The sequence below is a fragment of the Homo sapiens genome, chromosome 11 (genome assembly GCF_000001405.40).
Source record: "Homo sapiens chromosome 11, GRCh38.p14 Primary Assembly".
NCBI classification, from domain to species: domain Eukaryota; kingdom Metazoa; phylum Chordata; class Mammalia; order Primates; family Hominidae; genus Homo; species Homo sapiens.
Window position 1 is genome coordinate 21,979,951 of NC_000011.10, and position 20,018 is coordinate 21,999,968.

General features: G+C 36.9%; 1 long non-coding RNA gene across 7 annotated transcripts in view; it reads left to right on the top strand.

Annotated features, from left to right (window-relative positions):
- LOC102723370 (uncharacterized) overlaps nucleotides 1-20,018 on the top strand; it is a 366,694-nt gene that overhangs the window by 226,745 nt on the left and 119,931 nt on the right. For all 7 annotated transcript variants that reach the window (XR_007062619.1, XR_931110.3, XR_931111.3 and 4 more), the window contains one exon: nucleotides 3,016-3,128. This is a non-coding gene — a long non-coding RNA (uncharacterized LOC102723370). The remainder of the gene's footprint in view (nucleotides 1-3,015; nucleotides 3,129-20,018) is intronic.

The window sequence follows — 20,018 nt, forward strand, 5'->3', positions numbered from 1 at the left end:
TTGGCTCATGGTTTGGTGGGCTGTATGAGCTTCTGCTTTTGGAAGACCTCAGGAAATTTACAATCACAGCAGAAGGCAAAGGGGAAGCAAGCATGTCTTCATATTGCTGGCAGGAGAGAGAGAGAAAGAAAGGGAGACAGAGAGGTGCTACACACTTTTAAACAACCAGATCTCATGAGAACTCTATCACGAGAACAGCAAGGAGGAAGTCCACCTCCATGATTCAATCACCTCTCACCAGGCCCCTCCTTCAACACTAGGGTCTACAATTTGACATGAGATTTGGGTGGGGACACAAAGCCAAACCATATCACCTTGGTTATATAATTTCTACCTTACTTACATAACCTAACCTCTCTGAGCATCAGTTTATCATCCTGGAAGTAGAAAAATATAACAAATATTAACACCTACCTTACGGGATTATTTTAAAGATTAAGAGTAATGAATAAAGTGCCAAGCAGGCCCCCTGGCACATAGTAGACACACAGTAAATGGTAGTTTCCATAAAAACTGGAGTGCTGTGGTTTGAATGCTTTTGTCCCCTTCAAAATTTATGTTTTGGAAACTTAATCCCTAATGCAACAGTGTTGAGAGTAGTCACATTTTAGGAGGCGATTAGGTCATGAGAGTTCTGCCCTCATGAATGTATCAGTGACACTATAAAAAGGGCTTATGGGCTTCCTCTCTTTCTCTCTTCTGTCAGGGGAGGACACAGTGTTCCTTCTGTCTAAAGGATACAGCAACAAGGAGCCATCTTGGAACCAGAGAGTTATTGGTTTTCAGTCTCCAGAACTGTGAAAAAAAAACTTCTATTCTTTAGAGTTTACCTAATCTGTGGTATTCTGATAGAGTAGCACAAAACAAAGACACAGAATAATCTCTGTTACAGTCCAGGCCTCTTCCTTTAGCAGTCATTGCATGTAAGAGTATCTAGAAAATACAAACATAGTTCATAGTCATTTGGGACATTTTATTAATGTTGTGAAGTAAGACCTCTATATGGAATAGAGAAATGTGACACCTCAAGCATCTTCTAGAAGTTCAATATTTATCACCCCAAAACCTTCTTTCCTCACTAAATAGTTACAGAGGTCATTCTTAAATCTAACTTTTCTGAAATCATGCCTTCTTTCTAATGTCCGTGGAAAACAGAAACAGCATCTGTGGATAATTCCCAGCCATCTTGGATTTCTGAAACAAGATTGACATCTTATCTACATTTAACTAATTAAAAAGAAAACAGAGAATAAAAAAGATACTCCAAAAAAATTAAACCAGCTTAATAGAAGGACCTTATTAAAAGACAGTATATATGCCAATATCAGGACATTCAATCTATTCTACTTTTAGCTAAGTGTTGAATTCCCAGTCAGGAGGTAGATGAATTGCTAAACATTCTTGTTTGTCTGCATGATTTGCTTCATTGTTTTAATAATAAGCCTCATGACCTTAAAGTATGTTACAAAAATCTCCCTCCCATTCCTCACTGTATCATCAGTAGTCACCAGATAACAAGTTTCAATCATTAATATGCAACAGTATACTGAGAGTACAGCAGAATTATAAATAAACATACATACAAAAATATTTCATAATTCATTTCCAATAACTGAGTGCCTTCCATCACCAGGATTCCTGTTCCTTTGCTTCAGAATAATATTCCTCTATATATCAGATAGTCCTAAGTACCTACCACAAACACAGGCACTGTTTTGATGACAGAGACACTGCTGTTAAGGGAAGAGGGTCCGGGGGAGAGTGAGAAAAGAAAATATTCTCAGATCATTAATCCTTTTTACTTTTTCTTTTTTAAATTGCAAATGTTTTCACTTCCACAAAAATACTGAATGTGTATTTCCCACTAATGTACAAAAGGGAATTTTCTGAGACCTATCCTGGAGGAAAAATAAAACTGTCAAAGAGACTTCTATTGCTAAAAGATTAATATTATGATAATTACTTTCTAAGATGTAAATTAAGAAAGCGCCAAAATAGTCTCTTGCTGACTTTACATCTCTATAAAATGCAGCCAAGCTGACATCTATGTTGTATCTGTGGTAATCTGACTTACTTGGCTCCCAGGGCTGCTGGAGGTGTGTGTCAGCAATTTCTTTATCAGTTCTTACCTTCCAGAGATTTCTAACTCTTCACAATGCAATCATGAATATTCACTAGAAGCCAAAATTGCACAAATTGAGTCCCAGCAGAGTACTGTACTAGTGTGTATGGCTAATAACTCGAAATCAAGATTCCCTAAAATGTTTCAGCAGAGTTTTGTAAAAGAAACTAAGCGATTTAGCAAAAGTTAAACAACAAAACCCTAATCAATATTCATCACTCTTGAATAACAGAAAAAGGAGCACTGGTCAGCATGTTGAAGGATATGAATTAAAGCACTCCTTCCTCTATTTAGTAGGTTTAATACTAACCTTTAGGCAAGTCATTTCACCTTTCTAAGATCTGTTTGCTCCTAAGATGGGAATAAGCCTTCTTAGATTTTAAACATTGGACTAGTGTCTTAACCACTCAAGAATTTGATTTCTTAATCTGTAAAGTAGGATAACGATTCTTACCTTATTTAACACCTTACACAATGTCAAGAAGAGTAGTGTATCTGGTCTACCCAGTTTGGTCATGGTTTCTAACCAAAAAGACATATTGGTTACACCTGGACTCGGGTAGATTGCCTTAACAACACCTGAGTGCTTTCTTCACTTGGTCTTCTGCTGGAAACAAAGAAGGACTAACTCCACATCAGGAAGTAAACTCAAGCCATTACTAATCCTTAACGTAAATACAAAGATACCTCGTAGAGCACAGCTGTAGCCATGGCGTGTTAATTATCCGGGGTATTAGATCTGAAGATATTCCTGCCTTATTCACAAAGTGCGTATTTATACACACAAGAACTCTTCAACAAAAGATTATCTTTTATGGAAATAATGTGGTCTTTTTTATTAAAATTATTCTAGAGTGATGTGGTTTTAACTATCAATCTCTCTGTTGTTGCAGGGTATAACCAGGAGTTGCGAAGTGGTCGTAGTTGTTCATGTCTCAATCTGGATCATCTTTGCTTTTTGCTTCTGCTTTGTGCTATCCCTCTTCCCGTACCTCAGTTCTATCTGGTGAGTTTGAATATCAGGTCTGATTTACCTCTATAGCATTCTTAGTCTCTTAAACTGCAATTGTACAAAGTTCAGCCATCTAGACTGTGGGTTTTTCCTTGACTACAGCAGAACCTATAAACAAAGTTCCTATTTGCTATTGTAGAAAATCATAAACTTAAGAACGGAAAAAAGGGTTATTGCCCTTTGAGATATTTATGGGGACTCACTTTGCCTGCTATAGTGAGATTCCTTTTATAAGCACCTCTGGTTTTTAAATGGGAAAGAACTATATTTCAAGTAAATACTCCCTGGAAGCATCTTCCCCATTGCTCAAATATCTTGTGCCCAAGGCTACACAGGCTAAGATAAAAGCTCTCCATTTGGGACAAAAGATTTTCCCTGACCTGGGGTTACAAATGGGTTTTTTAGACAACTAAACAGTGCACAAAACTGTTAGAAAAAAATCCCCAAATGTAGGAGCTGTGTTTCTTTCTTAAGAGAGACAACGCTCTTACAGAAGCCAAGAGTTTATCTCTCCCCTTCTTGGCTCCCATCAGCACTCAGATGGTTTGCTGGTTGTTTCTCCTACCCCAAACTGCTTGAGGAAGCAACAGTGTTTTATTCATACAATATGTTTGGTGCTTAGCATAGTGAGTAGCACACAATGGGCACTTACTAAATGTGTGTTGATTGATTACAGGCATGGATTCTAATACATGCAGAAGATATGAATGAGCACCAACCATGTCCACGGTTTTTCAAAATGCAATTCTTGATAGATAGTTGTATCTTATGATATGATTCTGACTTCGCCTCTCTAAAATGCAGTGTAGAGTTAAATATTCTGCTTGAGATTTTACTGTATATAATTTTCCAGCATACCACAATAGTAAATGTACTCTGGAATGCAAATCCAGTAATTAAGCTGGGTATGCTGCAAAGCTGGCAATGTCTTTGAAAACATATTTTCTAGAGAGTAGGCCTAGCTTAGATTTTTCCGCCTAATTTCCATTCTGTTCAGACAGGCTTCATGAGCAGTAACTTTTTCTTCATTATGGGTGCTTTGTTTATTATTTTTTAAATTCTTCCCACAGACAGGTCATTACTAACCAGCTAATGAGCTATTCTTTACGTATGATTTATATGAAAGCAGCAGAAAATATGCCCTATTAAGATTCGCTGCAGAATATATCCCCTTAAAAAGAGGTGGCCTGGAGAATAGCGTGAACCCAGGAGGCGGAGCTTGCACTGAGCAGAGATCGCGCCACTGCACTCCAGCCTGGGCGAAAGAGCAAGACTCCGTCTCAAAAAAAAGAAAAAAAAAAAAAAGAGTTGGCCTAATATAATAAATGTGGAAACAGTCTTGGTAAGGAATATTACCTGATATAGAAGTTTTCATAAAGAAGCCCTAGTTTGTGATGTTGAGAACTGATCTTTTCCTTGGACCTGTGCCATTGAGCCCAGTTCTGGCTCCCACAGTGCAGGTCTTCTGTGTGTGCAGAACAAGTGCATGTGGCTTTGAAGTTGCCATACACCATATGAATGAAAAGACAGAAAGAGTCCTTAAATAATTAACTGCTATATTAGATCTGCAGATGTTACAGTCAAACACATGCAGTGCACGCTTGCATGACACACAGCAGTGGTGTCTGGAGGTAACTGTTCATCTACTAGGAAAGTATTACATAATTGATTAAAATAATCTTAGGGAGTTGGCACAGCATACCCCTCTGCTTTTGCCAATGGCTGAGCCAGAGATTGAGATGCATTTTGGAAACACAGAAATCCAGTTTTGTTGGAATTAGTTATCAAATTAATTCAAGAGCTTAAGAAACTTGACAACTATCATGCAGAGTAAGTAACAAAACCCAAGACAGGCTGATTATCAATCTATGGTCTTAAGCACAATTTGCTATTAGACACTAGCTTCCCAGCCTGACTCCGAGTCTAGCTTTCATTCTCTCTGCAGTCCCTTCCAGGGAATTCCCTGTAGGATTTCCCCACAGAGCCCCTCCAGATAAATAGAGCTTCCCCAGCTAATCAGGCTGCTAAGATAGTCAGGCTTGGACCAGGACTCCTGCTTACTGGAGAATACAATAGACGTATACAACGTGGCCCTGCTGGGAAGAAACTTATAGTCTGCTGAAGAAGATCAGCCTATGGGTTAAACAGTAAGACATATGAAATGGTAGATTATTAAAATGAAAGTATGAGCCTGGGGTTTCAGAAGTTTAAGATAGAGATTCCATGATGACTAAAGTGATTTTTAAAGACTCTATGGAAGAGTTCAAATTTAGATTGAGACTTCAAAGATAAGTGGAGTAAACAAGAAAGGCTATGGGATAAGAGATGAGAGGAAAAGTAGACTTACTGAGTCTCTGAGTTGCCATACGTCTTCTTGGTCACAGTCTGTATCCTCTCTGAAGCAATGATTTTCCCCATGCTACTGTTACACAGATAACCATAAAACCTCTTGCTTGTACATGTTCAACAATTAAAAAAAAAAACCAAAAAACTCCCTTCTGTAGCTTTTAGCTTTACTGTTGGACACTGTTCATGACTATCATTGTGAGAAAATGCTTCTGATTTCCCTATAACTTGCCCTCATTGTCCCTAGTTTTGCCATCTGGAGTAGCATAGAACCAGTCTGTTGCATGAGGAAAGGCACAGAGCCAGGAATGAGCACTATGCCTTCCTGAGACATTAAGGGGTAATGTTCTGATTATAGTGGAAGATTTACTTGGAAGACTTAATTAGATAAGTCCACAGAAGCTAGGAAAGTAGCTTGGGGGAGGAGTTTGAAGGAGGAGAAGGTAAAAGAGGAAGAGATGAAGTCAGCAGCTATTATGTATCAAATGCTATTCCTTTTGCAGTAAATACTTATTGAATGCCTACTATTATTTCAGACAGTCTACTAGGACTTGGGAATGTGACAATGAAGAAGGTAAATATTGTGTCTGTTGTAGTAACCAAGATAGACTACATTATGCAACCCCAAATCTCTGTAGCTTAACACACAGAAAACTTACTTCTAACACATACCACAGGTCCAGTGCAGGACATCAGGGAATTCTATTTCATGTAGTCACTCAGGGGCCTAAACTGATGGAGGCTCCATGTCAAGCTACATTGCCATGATCATTAGAACAAGACAAAGAGAACTGGATAAGGGAATCAGCTACTGAAGCTTCTACCCAGAATGACCGTATCACATCTGTTCACAGATGATGGCCCAAAGCAAGAAATATAACCACAACTATCTTCCAAGTTGAAAGGAAGTTCAATCTTCTGGCACACTTGGCAGGTCAATTGGAATATTTAATAGAGAATACTGATTACTACCATATCTGACATTATGGAACTTGGAACATAGGTAATTAGGTGAAAACAGGCAAGTTTACAGGCAGTTATGATCAGTACAGTCAGTGCTATGATACGGGAAGATCTGTGGGAGGAGCACCTAACTCAGATTTTTGGAATAGTCAAAAAAGAATTACAAGAAAAACTGGTAAAGCCAGAAAGATGAGTACAAATGTAATTTAATAAAGAAGTAATTGAGACAGGGACTGGCAGGAATTTAGACCTGTAAACACCTAAAGACAAAGTATGTTAGAGGATCCAATTAAAAATAGCTGGATAACGGTGTTGGGGAGAGGTGTGCTTGGTAAAATTGGAGAAGCAAGCATTGCTCAAACCATGCAGAGGCGTTGTCAGCCTCACTGATGAGTTAGTGTTTAATCCTGAGAACAGTGAGGGACCATTTGCTAGACTTGAAAAAGATCTCTTGTTGAAGTGTGAAAGATGGATTTTGGTAGGGGGTGACAGTATTCTATTTGCAAGATACTTCCAGTACTTAACATATCCACAGGGTAGTTGTTATTATTTCCACTTCACAGATAAAAAAAAAATCAAAGTTTTAGAAAGGGTAAGTATATTCACAAAGATCATAAGGTTGTTAAGCAGATGCATTCAGAAGGGAGAGTAGAAGAGACTCAAAACCTGAAATGCATATGGTATCGAAGTCCATGCTTTATGGACTTCGTTATGATGTTGCCTCCTGATCATTCTAGAATATAATAACAGCACAAGAAGTGCTTCCATCATGATGAACTTATAACCTAACCTCTTGACCAAAGAGTGGCTTTAATTCACAGGGGAAGTTGGCATAGAAGTGTTTATACTTTACATTTTACCTCATTGACCTGGGTGACTGGGTCAGCATTTGGAAAGGGATGAGGGGACTGCCCCATCACCTCCTCAGTTTCTGTAGGTCATAGGATAAGAGTAGCAATGCTCTTAGTGAGAGAAACTCTCAGGGAAAAAAAATGAGGCTATAATAGGCACTGCTTCAAGTGAACAGTGAGATTTTTCTCCTTGTCAGAAGTGTCTGCTCAATCTAGGAACTAAAGACCAGCCTGGGTGGCTCTTGCCTTTCACAGCTCAAAATAGCAAAAGGCCTGGATGCATAAATACAGTGAGATCTGACAAGCCGGTAAAGAGGACAGCTTACTTTCTGTACCTCCCTTGGTACCACAATCCAAGGATGAGATACAACTAAAGTTGATTTCCATATATCACACTGCAATCTTTTCTAAGATTGATTTTCAAAATTGTTGCTCATGGGGGTGTCATTTGTTCAAATACATAGTCCAAGTTGTCCTTCACTTGAGATTCCAGTTGTTCTCAGAAGCTGCCTTTGAATCAAAGTTCTAGTTTTCAATTTTTGCAATTGCCTTTGCACTTTCCCTCATGCTTCCAGGGGTCCAGGTTAATAATGTTGGCAGCTTCCAGTGTTTGATCAGTTATTTATGATATCTTAAAATAAGTACTAACTGTGCATTTCTCTGGTATAATTTTGATAAGATTTGTTTTAGCTAAAACAAAAATTAAAATGTACAACACAATTCATTAATGGTTACTGAAAGTCTTCAATGCATTAAAACATTTGAATTTAAAATAGGTTATTATGATAGAGATTTGTATGTGTGTAGATGAGAAAAATTTGGAAGATGTTTACATATAGTGATCATCATATAATTAGCTTCTTTGGGAAAAGAATTATCTTATTCACTGTTCACACATGGAGATACTCGGAGGGTATGAATTGAACAAATGAACAATTTGAGTTGCTATAGAAGTGATAATAATCCCTTTATATTTCTCTACCACTTGAACTATTTGCTGAATTGAATAATCTCATCTTCAATCTCATTTGAATATTTTGAATATCCTACGAAGTATATGGGCTTGATGTTGTTATCCCTATCAGGGAAGATCCTGCATCTATCTGATCATGGATACAAGGAATTTAAATACAGATCTTTTCATAACCACTCCACTGCACCAGGCATAATCTGCAGCATTGCTTTAAAAACAATTACTTGATTTAAGAAAAATTGTGAATAGATACAGGTTTTCTTTGCCTTCTGAACCCTATCATTCAAATACCCTTTTTTACCTTGGGAATTTCTAGTGAAGCCTGTGTGAAGCCCTCTGAATGCTTTTTCCTCTTAGGTATTCTCTCCTCAAAGCTTCTTCTCAGAAAGGATCTGAGAAATGCTGTCATACCAAATCATAGCTTAATAGTGACCTCTTTTGGAAGGTTTTGTTTTTAGCAGAGTATATTACACAATCTGGTACTGTTCATTGTCTTCCCTGGTCTTAAAGTGCAGCTGGTGTGTCATATCACTATACAAGAAGCTCGTAAGAGCCAGCTCACTATGGTCAAGATCCTTGGACCAGGGGCTGGCCCAGATTGCCCTCCTGCTTGTCACCTTGACCTGCTCTTATAGTGCATGCCTTCCATGGCATCATAATGTGGACCCTCCTATGTGACTCAAAACCTTCCTATTTTTGTCGACTATTTGGACATTTTTCTGCAGCTTCCCTACATCACTTAGTCAGGATAGATAACCTGCAGCTTCCCTACATCACTTCCCATTTTTCTGCAGCTTCCCTACATCACTTAGTCAGGATAGATAACCCACTGTTAGCAGATATATATCAAATAGGTATCATTTCTGCCCACCATCAACAGCAGGATTTCTGGCATCAACCACCAATAGGAGGAGTTGGGGAAAATAAAAGAACATTCTAGAGCTTCTGATATCACATTTGTTCTGCATCTGCTTAAGACTTATGGCTATAACCTGTTTATCATAGCTGATTTCTTCAGTGAATGGAAGGATGTAAAAACTGCTTAAAATATTGATAGCATCCTTTCCACAAGCTCTTGTTTATCTGCCTTTTGTCCTCCCTACTCACTGCCCCTGTATCTTCATTGTTCTAATACTCACTGCTTCCAATTCCAGCTCGCCAACTCCAAACACCACATTGTTTGCACAGCGTGCAAATGGCAACCTTACCTGATATCTGACCTAAACTCAGGGTTTGGCACCCCAGTCTAAGCCTATCAGCCTAGTCCCAAATTTATCCAGGAAAGGAAGATCAGAAAACCCTTATCATGTTCTTCTGGTATTTTCTAACCTTAGAATTCCTGACTCTAAAAAATTAGACATCTAACCCTTTTCCCTGCCAAAATTTCTGAGTCCAAGTAGTGCCTTGATTATTTTCTCTCCTCTCTCATATAGGCCCTGGTATAACAATGCTGATTCATACATTATGATGACAATAACAGGCAATTAAATCGAGTATTGAGATGATAATTTATGGAGTATATGAAACTTAAAATCAAAACTTAAATATACCATTATCTCCATCATAAGGAACAATTAAGATATAAAAGCAGTTTACAAAAATGAAATGTTTAGGGAAAAGTGATTGAATAATGAGTGATGATAATAAAGAATTTACAAAATATGTATACAATCACACTTAAAACTAGGGGAAAATTACTGTTGGTATTGGAACCGAGAGATATGACCTAAAGACATATGAGATTAGGACAGAATGACAGTCGCTCCAATAGAACTGTCTATTCATGTTCAGAATGAAATTTTAGAATATAAGCTGTATTTTCCCCTTCAGTCTATGTAGATTTGTTTTTCCTCCTGTGGGTTCTCTGCAAGTCAATGTAACAGTCCCAACCACTTGCCAATTAAGCAAGAGGAGAATATTATTGTAAACAAGAACAAAAAGATACTAGTACACTCAGAATACCATACCATGTATAAAGACAAAAACGGGACTCTCTTAGTCTGTTTTGCTATGACAAAATACCTGAGGCTGGGTAATTTATTTTAAAAAGAGACTTATTTGGCTCATGATTCTGGTGGCCAGAAGTTCAGAATTGAACAGCTATTTGGTGCATACCTCGTGATGCTTCCACTCATGGTGGAAAGCCCAAACTGGGGAGTGTATGAAGAGATTACATTATGGGAGAGGCTAAGAATTCCTTTTGTAGAACCATAACTATTCCATTCCCATAAGAGAGAGAGCTCACTCCGCCTGGTGGGAGGGCATTCATCTACTCATGAAGGTCCTGCTCTTATGACCCAACTACCTCCCACTATTTCCCATCTCCTAATGCTGCCTCACTAGCATGACACATTAACATGACAGTAACATGAGTTTTGGCAGAGACAAACCACATCCAAACCACATCAGGGTCCCGCAGTCATTGTGGCTTCAGACAATTGTTGGTGTCTTTTTTGCTCCAAATACCTTTTGCCCTTTGCTGCCCAGTTCTCAATTGTACGTTATCTGTTCCCTGTTGAAATGAAGCTAAGAACAAGAATTCAGGCAAGTGCTTTCATAGTGAGAAAACATAGTTATAGTTCTTGACCTCAACAACTTATTTATTTTATTTGGGGACAATTTCAGCTGAACTGAAAGGCTGTCACTCAACACAGCTTCTATTTATCCACATGTTCCTTGGCTAACCCATGTAGAAGATAAAACCTCTTTACCAAATTGCTATTGTAGAGGTTAGAGATCTTGGTCTTTTAAAAGATAGCTCTCTTTATTTCACTGCCTTAAGCTAAGGTTCCAGGCTTAATGATCTGACATGTTAGTTTGTAGAATTTTATCTGGCAAAGATACGACTAATTTATTTCTGTGCAAAAGGTAAAACCAAAAGTTACATTTTGCCCTGTAGGACATTCATTTTGCATCTGACCTGGAAATCTCATCCTAAGAATTTTTTGCTGAATTGTCTATAAATACACTTTCAACTGGTCTTAACATCTTACTGTTTCTCTAATGAACTGAATAAAATCTATGATATGTTCACTTCACATTTGTTTTATTATTCCTATCAGAGAATAATAATAAAACATGAGGGTCATGGTCTTAACTTTTTAAAGATTTTGCTTTAGCGGTTTTAGAAAGTGTTCCACCAAGATACTTACTTAAGTAGACTAACCTGACAGACAAGGGAAGGATAGGGAGGGAAATCAAGACTAGAATTAGAATAAAAATACCTGAGTCAACTAAACTGAATGACTTGAAAGGACTACCTCAGGGTTTTTTTAATCTCAGGCACATCTCTTCCTGACTCCCCGAATATATTGTAAGCAGCAATACAACTTTAACATTGCTTACCCTGTTTCTCTAAGTTCATTTGTTACTTTTTTCCGATTTGTAGTATTTTTTTTTTTTCTGGTTCGCAGATGGACTACAGGTTTGTCTCTATTGGTAGCAAAATTGATAAAGTATTTGGCTTTATGATGCTACCATTTGGGATCTCTGTCAAATGATGATATTTATTTTCTGTTAGATAAAGGTAGAGAATCTGATTTGATATAATTTGTTTGCCTCTGTATCAATTGTGAGCTCAAATCAATTAAGAATTTTGTACCTGCTGGAAAAAAGAATACATCTTTAGGATGTGGACTGGAAGGTTTATATATTGCTCTGTTTATTTTTAACCTCAGAACTGAAACTATAGAGCTTTCTCTGTATTTCTGTAATTGATAAAAACTTTATATCTTTCACTGTATAGGTATGAAATGTTTTCCTACCCTAAGAAGATATTGATAAATTAGATTATAACATTTTTAAATTGAAGAAATTCTGCTCTCATAGAGAGATAAATACATTTTTATAGAAATTAATGTTTCCCAAATTCAAAGAAATAAGAAAACTGAAATAATATTATAGTTTAAATATTGTAGACTTTAAAAATCTCTAGAAATTCCTAACTCAGAAATATTTTTACTTAATAATACAAGTTCACATAACTAAGGTGAATCTTTGTACATATCAAATCAGTTTAATAATTTTGATTTTTAAAAAATAAAAGATAGGTATAAGCTTTTTCCATAAGTTTATCAGTATGGAGTATAATACAAGTATATACTTTATTTTTAAATAAGATTTGGGTTTGTTTTGTCATGAAAAGTTCAGTTACTCTGAGGTTTCTAAACTTCTTATGCTGTTTATTCATATATCAGGGAAGCCAATATTACTCCTACAAAATGTAACATAGGGAATGGACCTTCTAAGGAAATACTAAGTTTGTATCTGTGTGTATGTGAGCTAAGCCCTTGAAATAAGACTTAAGGGCTACCATGGATGTGATGCTTTAGAATTTCTGAGGTGCTTCTCATTAATTATCAAGCATAAAATATAACAGAGGGGACAAACATGCAGTGTTTACTACTATTGGGTAGAAAATAAAATTATTTTATTTAATTTTAATCTCAAGAAACAGGTATTGCAAATATTATATTCATTTTATTGAGAAGAGTGAGTCAAAAACGTTAAGTGACTTAGAAGATAACCCAGGTAATAAGTGGTGAACCTAGAAAATAAGAGATACAAAACACATCCTTCTAGCCAAGTGCTTTCTCCATTATAATAGTGGACTCTATATTTTGAGGACTACAAACTTTTAACAATATCTACATTTTGAGCATGCATCCCCTAACATGTAAATATTTGTTCACTTGCTTTATGTGTAATATTCATCTATCACATATACTATAAAAGAAAAACAACCATTTTACATTTTGAGATATAAAAACATAGAGGAGTTCTACCCTTTTCTCCCCATAGCAAGTGAATCATCCTTACACACTTGAGGGAATGTGCTATACATTAATTTCCCATTTATAATTTGTATTATTACTTATTTGTATTATTACCTATTATCTCAGTATATGACCAGCTTGGAGCCCCAAAGATCAAAGGAGATATGAAGAATCTAGAGAAAAATGGATTCTCTCGTGTTGGCCCTAACTCCTCTACAGTTACCATTTCAGAAATATAGTCCTTATTTTTGCCTAGAAGTCTAGGTTCCAACACATTTGTCACCCTCTCGCTTGGCTAATGTGCCCAAAATGAAACATATTGCATTTGTAGCCTTTGGGCTCCACAGTGTGCTCTGAGTTCTGCTAGGACAACTAGTGTTTATGTAATCAGAAAGGCCTTGACTATGGAAACGAATCACCTCTTCCTCCAAGTTGAATGTATTTATTTTTTATGCTTATCTTCAAAACCTTTCTGTGAGGTGTGGAAATCAGATATTATTTTCCATTTAATGGGGAAGAATCCTGAGGCTCAATATTAAGTATTATTTGCCTAATACACTTTAAATAGTAAACTATTAACAAAATTGTGTTGAATGAATGAATGAATGAGGCTAAGGAGCAGAACTATTTCTAAAATCTAAGTTGTCCAACTTCTAGTAGTGATGGATATTTTTCTTAAAATGCAATTGCCCCAGACAAGGGAAGGATAGGGAGGGAAATCAAGACTAGAATTAGAATAAAAAGACCTGAGTCAGGTTCTAAGTCATTTCTTAGCTTTCTTACTTCAATAAGTCACTGAGCCTTAGATTCCTTAGATTCTGTAAAATGGTGTATTTAATACCTGTGCAGCCCATCTCAGAAAGCTGTTAACAAAGTCAAACTAGGCAATCCATATAAAATTGTCTAAGAATCTTATTTCCTAAATCCCCTAGATGACTGAGAGGTAGGACTTTTTTCAAAATACCTGGATCAAGAAAGCCGTAAGTATGAAATATATTTATCAGCTATTCTGATAAAAGTATTCATCAGAATTAAGGGCTTCATTCTTCATCCAGTCACAAAATTGCATTATGATAAAAACTTTTATTCAACATGCAATATGAACTCATCACCAAATGTTATAAAAGCGTCCAAGATGTTAGGAGTCACTTCAAGGTAATTACAATCTATTTCTGAAAATTTATTATTATAATTTATTTTTTATAGCTCTGGAGGCTCAGGGTTTGGTTTCTTCTGGGGCTTCTCTTTTTTGCTTACAGATGGCCACCTTCTCCTGTGTCCTCACATGGTCTTTTCTTTGTGAGCATGCATCTGTGGTGTCTCCTTGTGTGTCCAAATTTCCACCTCTGATAGGAACATCAGTCACATTGGATTAGGGCCCACCCCGAAAACGCCATTTTTACTTGATCACCTCTTTAAAGGCCCTATCTTCAAATACAGCCACATTCTGAGGTACTCGGTTTTAGGATTCCAATGTACATATGAATTTTGAAGGGAGACTGTTCAGCTCATAACAGAAAGATAATCTAAAAATGCATGTGTGACAAAGATGAAAAGATAAGACAGAAAACTATGCTGTATAAATTCTGATAAAAGATAATTACCAAGGATTGAAGAGACTTATGAGAACATTTTTAGAGAAAATGAGATTGTGGTGGGTTTTGAAGTAGAGAGAAATAAAAGAGTGGGTGCTTGCTCACAGGAAGAACAATATGGACATTTGATAGGAAAAAGGATGTAAGTGAAGTACTTGCCTTACATGGCTTATCTGCCCCTGCTGCATCTCAAGATAATAAATAATAGTATTTACTATTATGGGTAACATTTCAGGTTATAAAATATTTTCATTTACATTCACTTGATCATAGTATTCACCTCCTAATAATCTATATTACAGCAACCTAGGTGTACTGACTCCAAAACAAGTTCTTGCCACCACATGGCCTTGCCCGAGCATTATAACTTTTAAAATAACATTTGATGTCCCACTTTATACCCTTGGATAAGGTAGAGCTGAAGTGATCTGGATATCAGATGTCAAGAAGGAATGAAAACAGGATAAAGCAAATGTTATTCGAGTTGGGGGCCAAATAAACACTATGCTATTCAAATAAACCCTAAACACAATGGGTGTCTGAGCTATTTTTATTGTATGTGTTAAGATGTAATTAAGAGTTTTTTTCTCTTCATATTTTTCCTGTATATATTTGAATCTAGAGAATCCAAGTCATTCTAAAAGATGTCACTCCTGTCAGCTTCCAGCTATTTTGTATAGTGTTTAATCAACTGATGAAGTTGGGTGCATGTCTTAAGATATGAAGTCATTTTGTCTGATTTGAAGTTCCTTTATTATCTATGTGATATATACTGTATATGTATTCTGTACCAGGAATGCATTTATAAATTCTTTCCTCAGCAACAGCTAAGATTTTTTACAAACTCAACATTTAAAATATTTAACTAGCATAAAAGAGATGGGACATGATCAGATAGCTGGAAAAATATTACTTAAGCCATTATTAAAAAGGTCAGGATATCAGGTGTCACATGGGTCTGTAGGCTGGCAAAGCTACAAAGATAAAATTATACAGAATAACTTCATCAAAGACTTTATTTGAAACTTCTTGCTCATCTGGTAACATATCCTAAAATGCATACCGAAACATGTACCTTACAAAAACCAATTATACTTTTTAGTAATATATCCAAAAATAAATAAAAATAACCAGAAACCTAGAGAGATGTTTATGTATAAAAAAATTATTAGACTAATATGTATAAAAGCCAAAGGGTGGTCACATTTCTGACAATATGGAAATTATTATTATTTTTTAAGGTGATTTGTTATTTCTTTTTTTTTATTATTATTATACTTTAAGTTTTAGGGTACATGTGCACAATGTGCAGGTTAGTTACATATGTATACATGTGTCATGCTAGTGTGCTGCACCCATTAACTCGTCATTTAGCATTAGGTATATCTCCTAATGCTATCCCTCCTCCCTCACCCCACCCCACAACAGTCCTCAGAGTGTGATGTTCCCCTTCCTGTGTCCATGTGTTCTCATTGTTCAATTCCCATCTATGAGTGAGAACATGTGGTGTTTGGATTTTTGTCCTTGCAATAGTTTGCTGAGAATGATGATTTCCAATTTCATCTATGTCCCTACAAAGGACATGAACTCATCATTTTTTATGGCTGCATACTATTCCATGGTGTATATGTGCCACATTTTCTTAATCCAGTCTATCATTGTTGGACATTTGGGTTGGTTCCAAGTCTTTGCTATTGTGAATAGCGCCACAATAAACATACGTATGCATGTGTCTGTATAGCAGCATGATTTATAGCCCTTTGGGTATATACCCAGAAATGAGATGGCTGGGTCAAATGGTATTTCTAGTTCTAGATCCCTGAGGAATCACCACACTGACTTCCACAATGGTTGAACTAGTTTACAGTCCCACCAACAGTGTAAAAGTGTTGCTATTTCTCCACATCCTCTCCAGCACCTGTTGTTTCCTGACTTTTTAATGATTGCCATTCTAACTGGTGTGAGATGGTATCTCATTGTGGTTTTGATATGCATTTCTCTGATGGCCAGTGATGGTGAGCATTTTTTCATGTGTTTTTTGGGTGCATAAATGTCTTCTTTTGAGAAGTGTCTGTTCATGTCCTTTGCCCACTTTTTGATGGGGTTGTTTGTTTTTTTCTTGTAAATTTGTTGGAGTTGATTATAGATTCTGGATATTAGCCCTTTGTCAGATGAGTAGGTTGCGAAAATTTTCTCCCATTTTGTAGGTTGCCTGTTCCCTCTGATGGTAGTTTCTTTTGCTGTGCAGAAGCTCTTTAGTTTAATTAGATCCCATTTGTCAATTTTGGCTTTTGTTGCCATTGCTTTTGATGTTTTAGACATGAAGTCCTTGCCCATGCCTATGTCCTGAATGGTAATGCCTAGGTTTTCTTCTAGGGTTTTTATGGTTTTAGGTCTAACCTTTAAGTCTTTAATCCATCTTGAATTAATTTTTGTATAAGGTGTAAGGAAGGGATCCAGTTTCAGCTCTCTACATATGGCTAGCCAGTTTTCCCAGCACCATTTATTAAATAGGGAATCCTTTCCCCATTGCTTGTTTTTCTCAGGTTTGTCAAAGATCGGATAGTTGTAGATATGCGGCGTTATTTCTGAGGGCTCTGTTCTGTTCCATTGGTCTATATCTCTGTTTTGGTACCAGTACCATGCTGTTTTGGTTACTGTAGCCTTGTAGTATAGTTTGAAGTCAGGTAGTGTGATGCCTCCAGCTTTGTTCTTTTGGCTCAGGATTGACTTGGTGATGCGGGCTCTTTTTTGGTTCCATGTGAACTTTAAAGTAGTTTTTTCCAATTCTGTGAAGAAAGTCTTTGGTAGCTTGATGGGGATGGCATTGAATCTATAAATTACCTTGGGCAGTATGGCCATTTTCACGATATTGATTCTTCCTACCAATGAGCATGGAATGTTCTTCCATTTCTTTGTATCCTCTTTTATTTCATTGAGCAGTGGTTTCTAGTTCTCCTTGAAGAGGTCCTTCACGTCCCTTGTAAGTTGGATTCCTAAGTATTTTATTCTCTTTGAAGCAATTGTGAATGGGAGTTCACTCATGATTTGGCTCTCTGTTTGTCTGTTGTTGGTGTATAAGAATGCTTGTGATTTTTGTACATTGATTTTGTATCCTGAGACTTTGCTGAAGTTGATTATCAGCTTAAGGAGATTTTGGGCTGAGACAATGGGGTTTTCTAGATATACAATCATGTCGTCTGCGAAGAGGGACAATTTCACTTCCTCATTTCCTAACTGAATACCCTTTATTTCCTTCTCCTGCCTAATTGCCCTGGCCAGAACTTCCAACACTATGTTGAATAGGAGTGGTGAGAGAGGGCATGCCTGTCTTGTGCCGGTTTTCAAGGGGAATGCTTCCAGTTTTTGCCCATTCAGTATGATATTGGCTGTGGGTTTGTCATAGATAGCTCTTATTATTTTGAGATACATCCCATCAATACCTAATTTACTGAGAGTTTTTAGCATGAAGGTTGTTGAATTTTGTCAAAGGCCTTTTCTGCATCTATTGAGATAATCATGTGGTTTTTGTCTTTGGTTATGTTTATATGCTGGATTACATTTATTGATTTGCGTATATTGAACCAGCCTTGCATCCCAAGGATAAAGCCCACTTGATCATGGTGGATAAGCTTTTTGATGTGCTGCTGGATTTGGTTTGCCAGTATTTTATTGAGGATTTTTGCATCAATATTCATCAAGGATATTGGTCTAAAATTCTCTTTTTTGGTTGTGTCTCTGCCCGGCTTTGGTATCAGGATGATGCTGGCCTCATAAAATGAGTTAGGGAGGATTCCCTCTTTTTCTATTGATTGGAATCATTTCAGAAGGAATGGTACCAGTTCCTCCTTGTACCTCTGGTAGAATTCGGCTGTGAATCCATCTGGTCCTGGACTCTTTTTGGTTGGTAAGCTATTGATTATTGCTACAATTTCAGATCCTGTTATTGGTCTATTCAGAGATTCAGCTTCTTCCTGGTTTAGTCTTGGGAGGGTGTATGTGTCGAGGAATTTATCCATTTCTTCTAGATTTTCTAGTTTATTTGCATAGAGGTGTTTTTAGTATTCTCTGATGGTAGTTTGTATTTCTGTGGGATCGCTAGTGATATCCCCTTTATCATTTTTTATTGCATCTATTTGATTCTTCTCTCTTTTTTTCTTTATTAGTCTTGCTAGCGGTCTATCAATTTTGTTGATCCTTTCAAAAAACCAGCTCCTGGATTCATTAATTTTGGAAGGGTTTTTTGTGTCTCTATTTCCTTCAGTTCTGCTCTCATTTTATTTATTTCTTGCCTTCTGCTAGCTTTTAAATGTGTTTGTTCTTGCTTTTCTAGTTCTTTTAATTGTGATGTTAGGGTGTCAATTTTGGATCTTTCCTGCTTTCTCTTGTGGGCATTTAGTGCTATAAATTTCCCTCTACACAGTGCTTTGAATGTGTCCCAGAGATTCTGGTATGTTGTGTCTTTGTTCTCGTTGGTTTCAAAGTACATCTTTATTTCTGCTTTCATTTCGTTATGTACCCAGTCGTCATTCAGGAGCAGGTTATTCAGTTTCCATGTAGTTGAGCAGTTTTGAGTGAGTTTCTTAATCCTGAGTTCTAGTTTGATTGCACTGTGGTCTGAGAGGCAGTTTGTTATAATTTCTGTTCTTTTACATTTGCTGAGGAGAGCTTTACTTCCAACTGTGTGGTCAATTTTGGAATAGGTGTGGTGTGGTGCTGAAAAAAATGTATATTCTTTTGATTTGGGGTGGAGAGTTCTGTAGATGTCTATTAGGTCCGCTTGGTGCAGAGGTGAGTTCAATTCCTGGGTATCCTTGTTAACTTTCTGTCTCGTTGATCTGTCTAATGTTGACAGTGGGGTGTTAAAGTCTCCCATTATTATTGTGTGGGAATCTAAGTCTCTTTCTAGGTCACTCAGGCCTTGCTTTATGAATCTGGGTGCTCCTGTATTGGGTGCATATATATTTAGGATAGTTAGCTCTTCTTGTTGAATTGATCCCTTTACCATTATGTAATGGCCTTCTTTGTCTCTTTTGATCTTTGTTGGTTTAAAGTCTGTTTTATCAGAGACTAGGATTGCAACCCCTGCCTTTTTTTGTTTTCCATTTGCTTGGTAGATCTTCCTCCATCCTTTCATTTTGAGCCTATGCATGTCTCTGCACATGAGATGGGTTTCCTGAATACAGCACACTGATGGGTCTTGACTCTTTATCCAACTTGCCAGTCTGTCTCTTTTAATTGGAGCATTTAGTCCATTTACATTTAAAGTTAATATTGTTATGTGTGATTTTGATCCTGTCATTATGATGTTAGCTGGTTATTTTGCTCGTTAGTTGATGCAGTTTCTTTCTAGTCTCGATGGTCTTTACATTTTGGCAGGA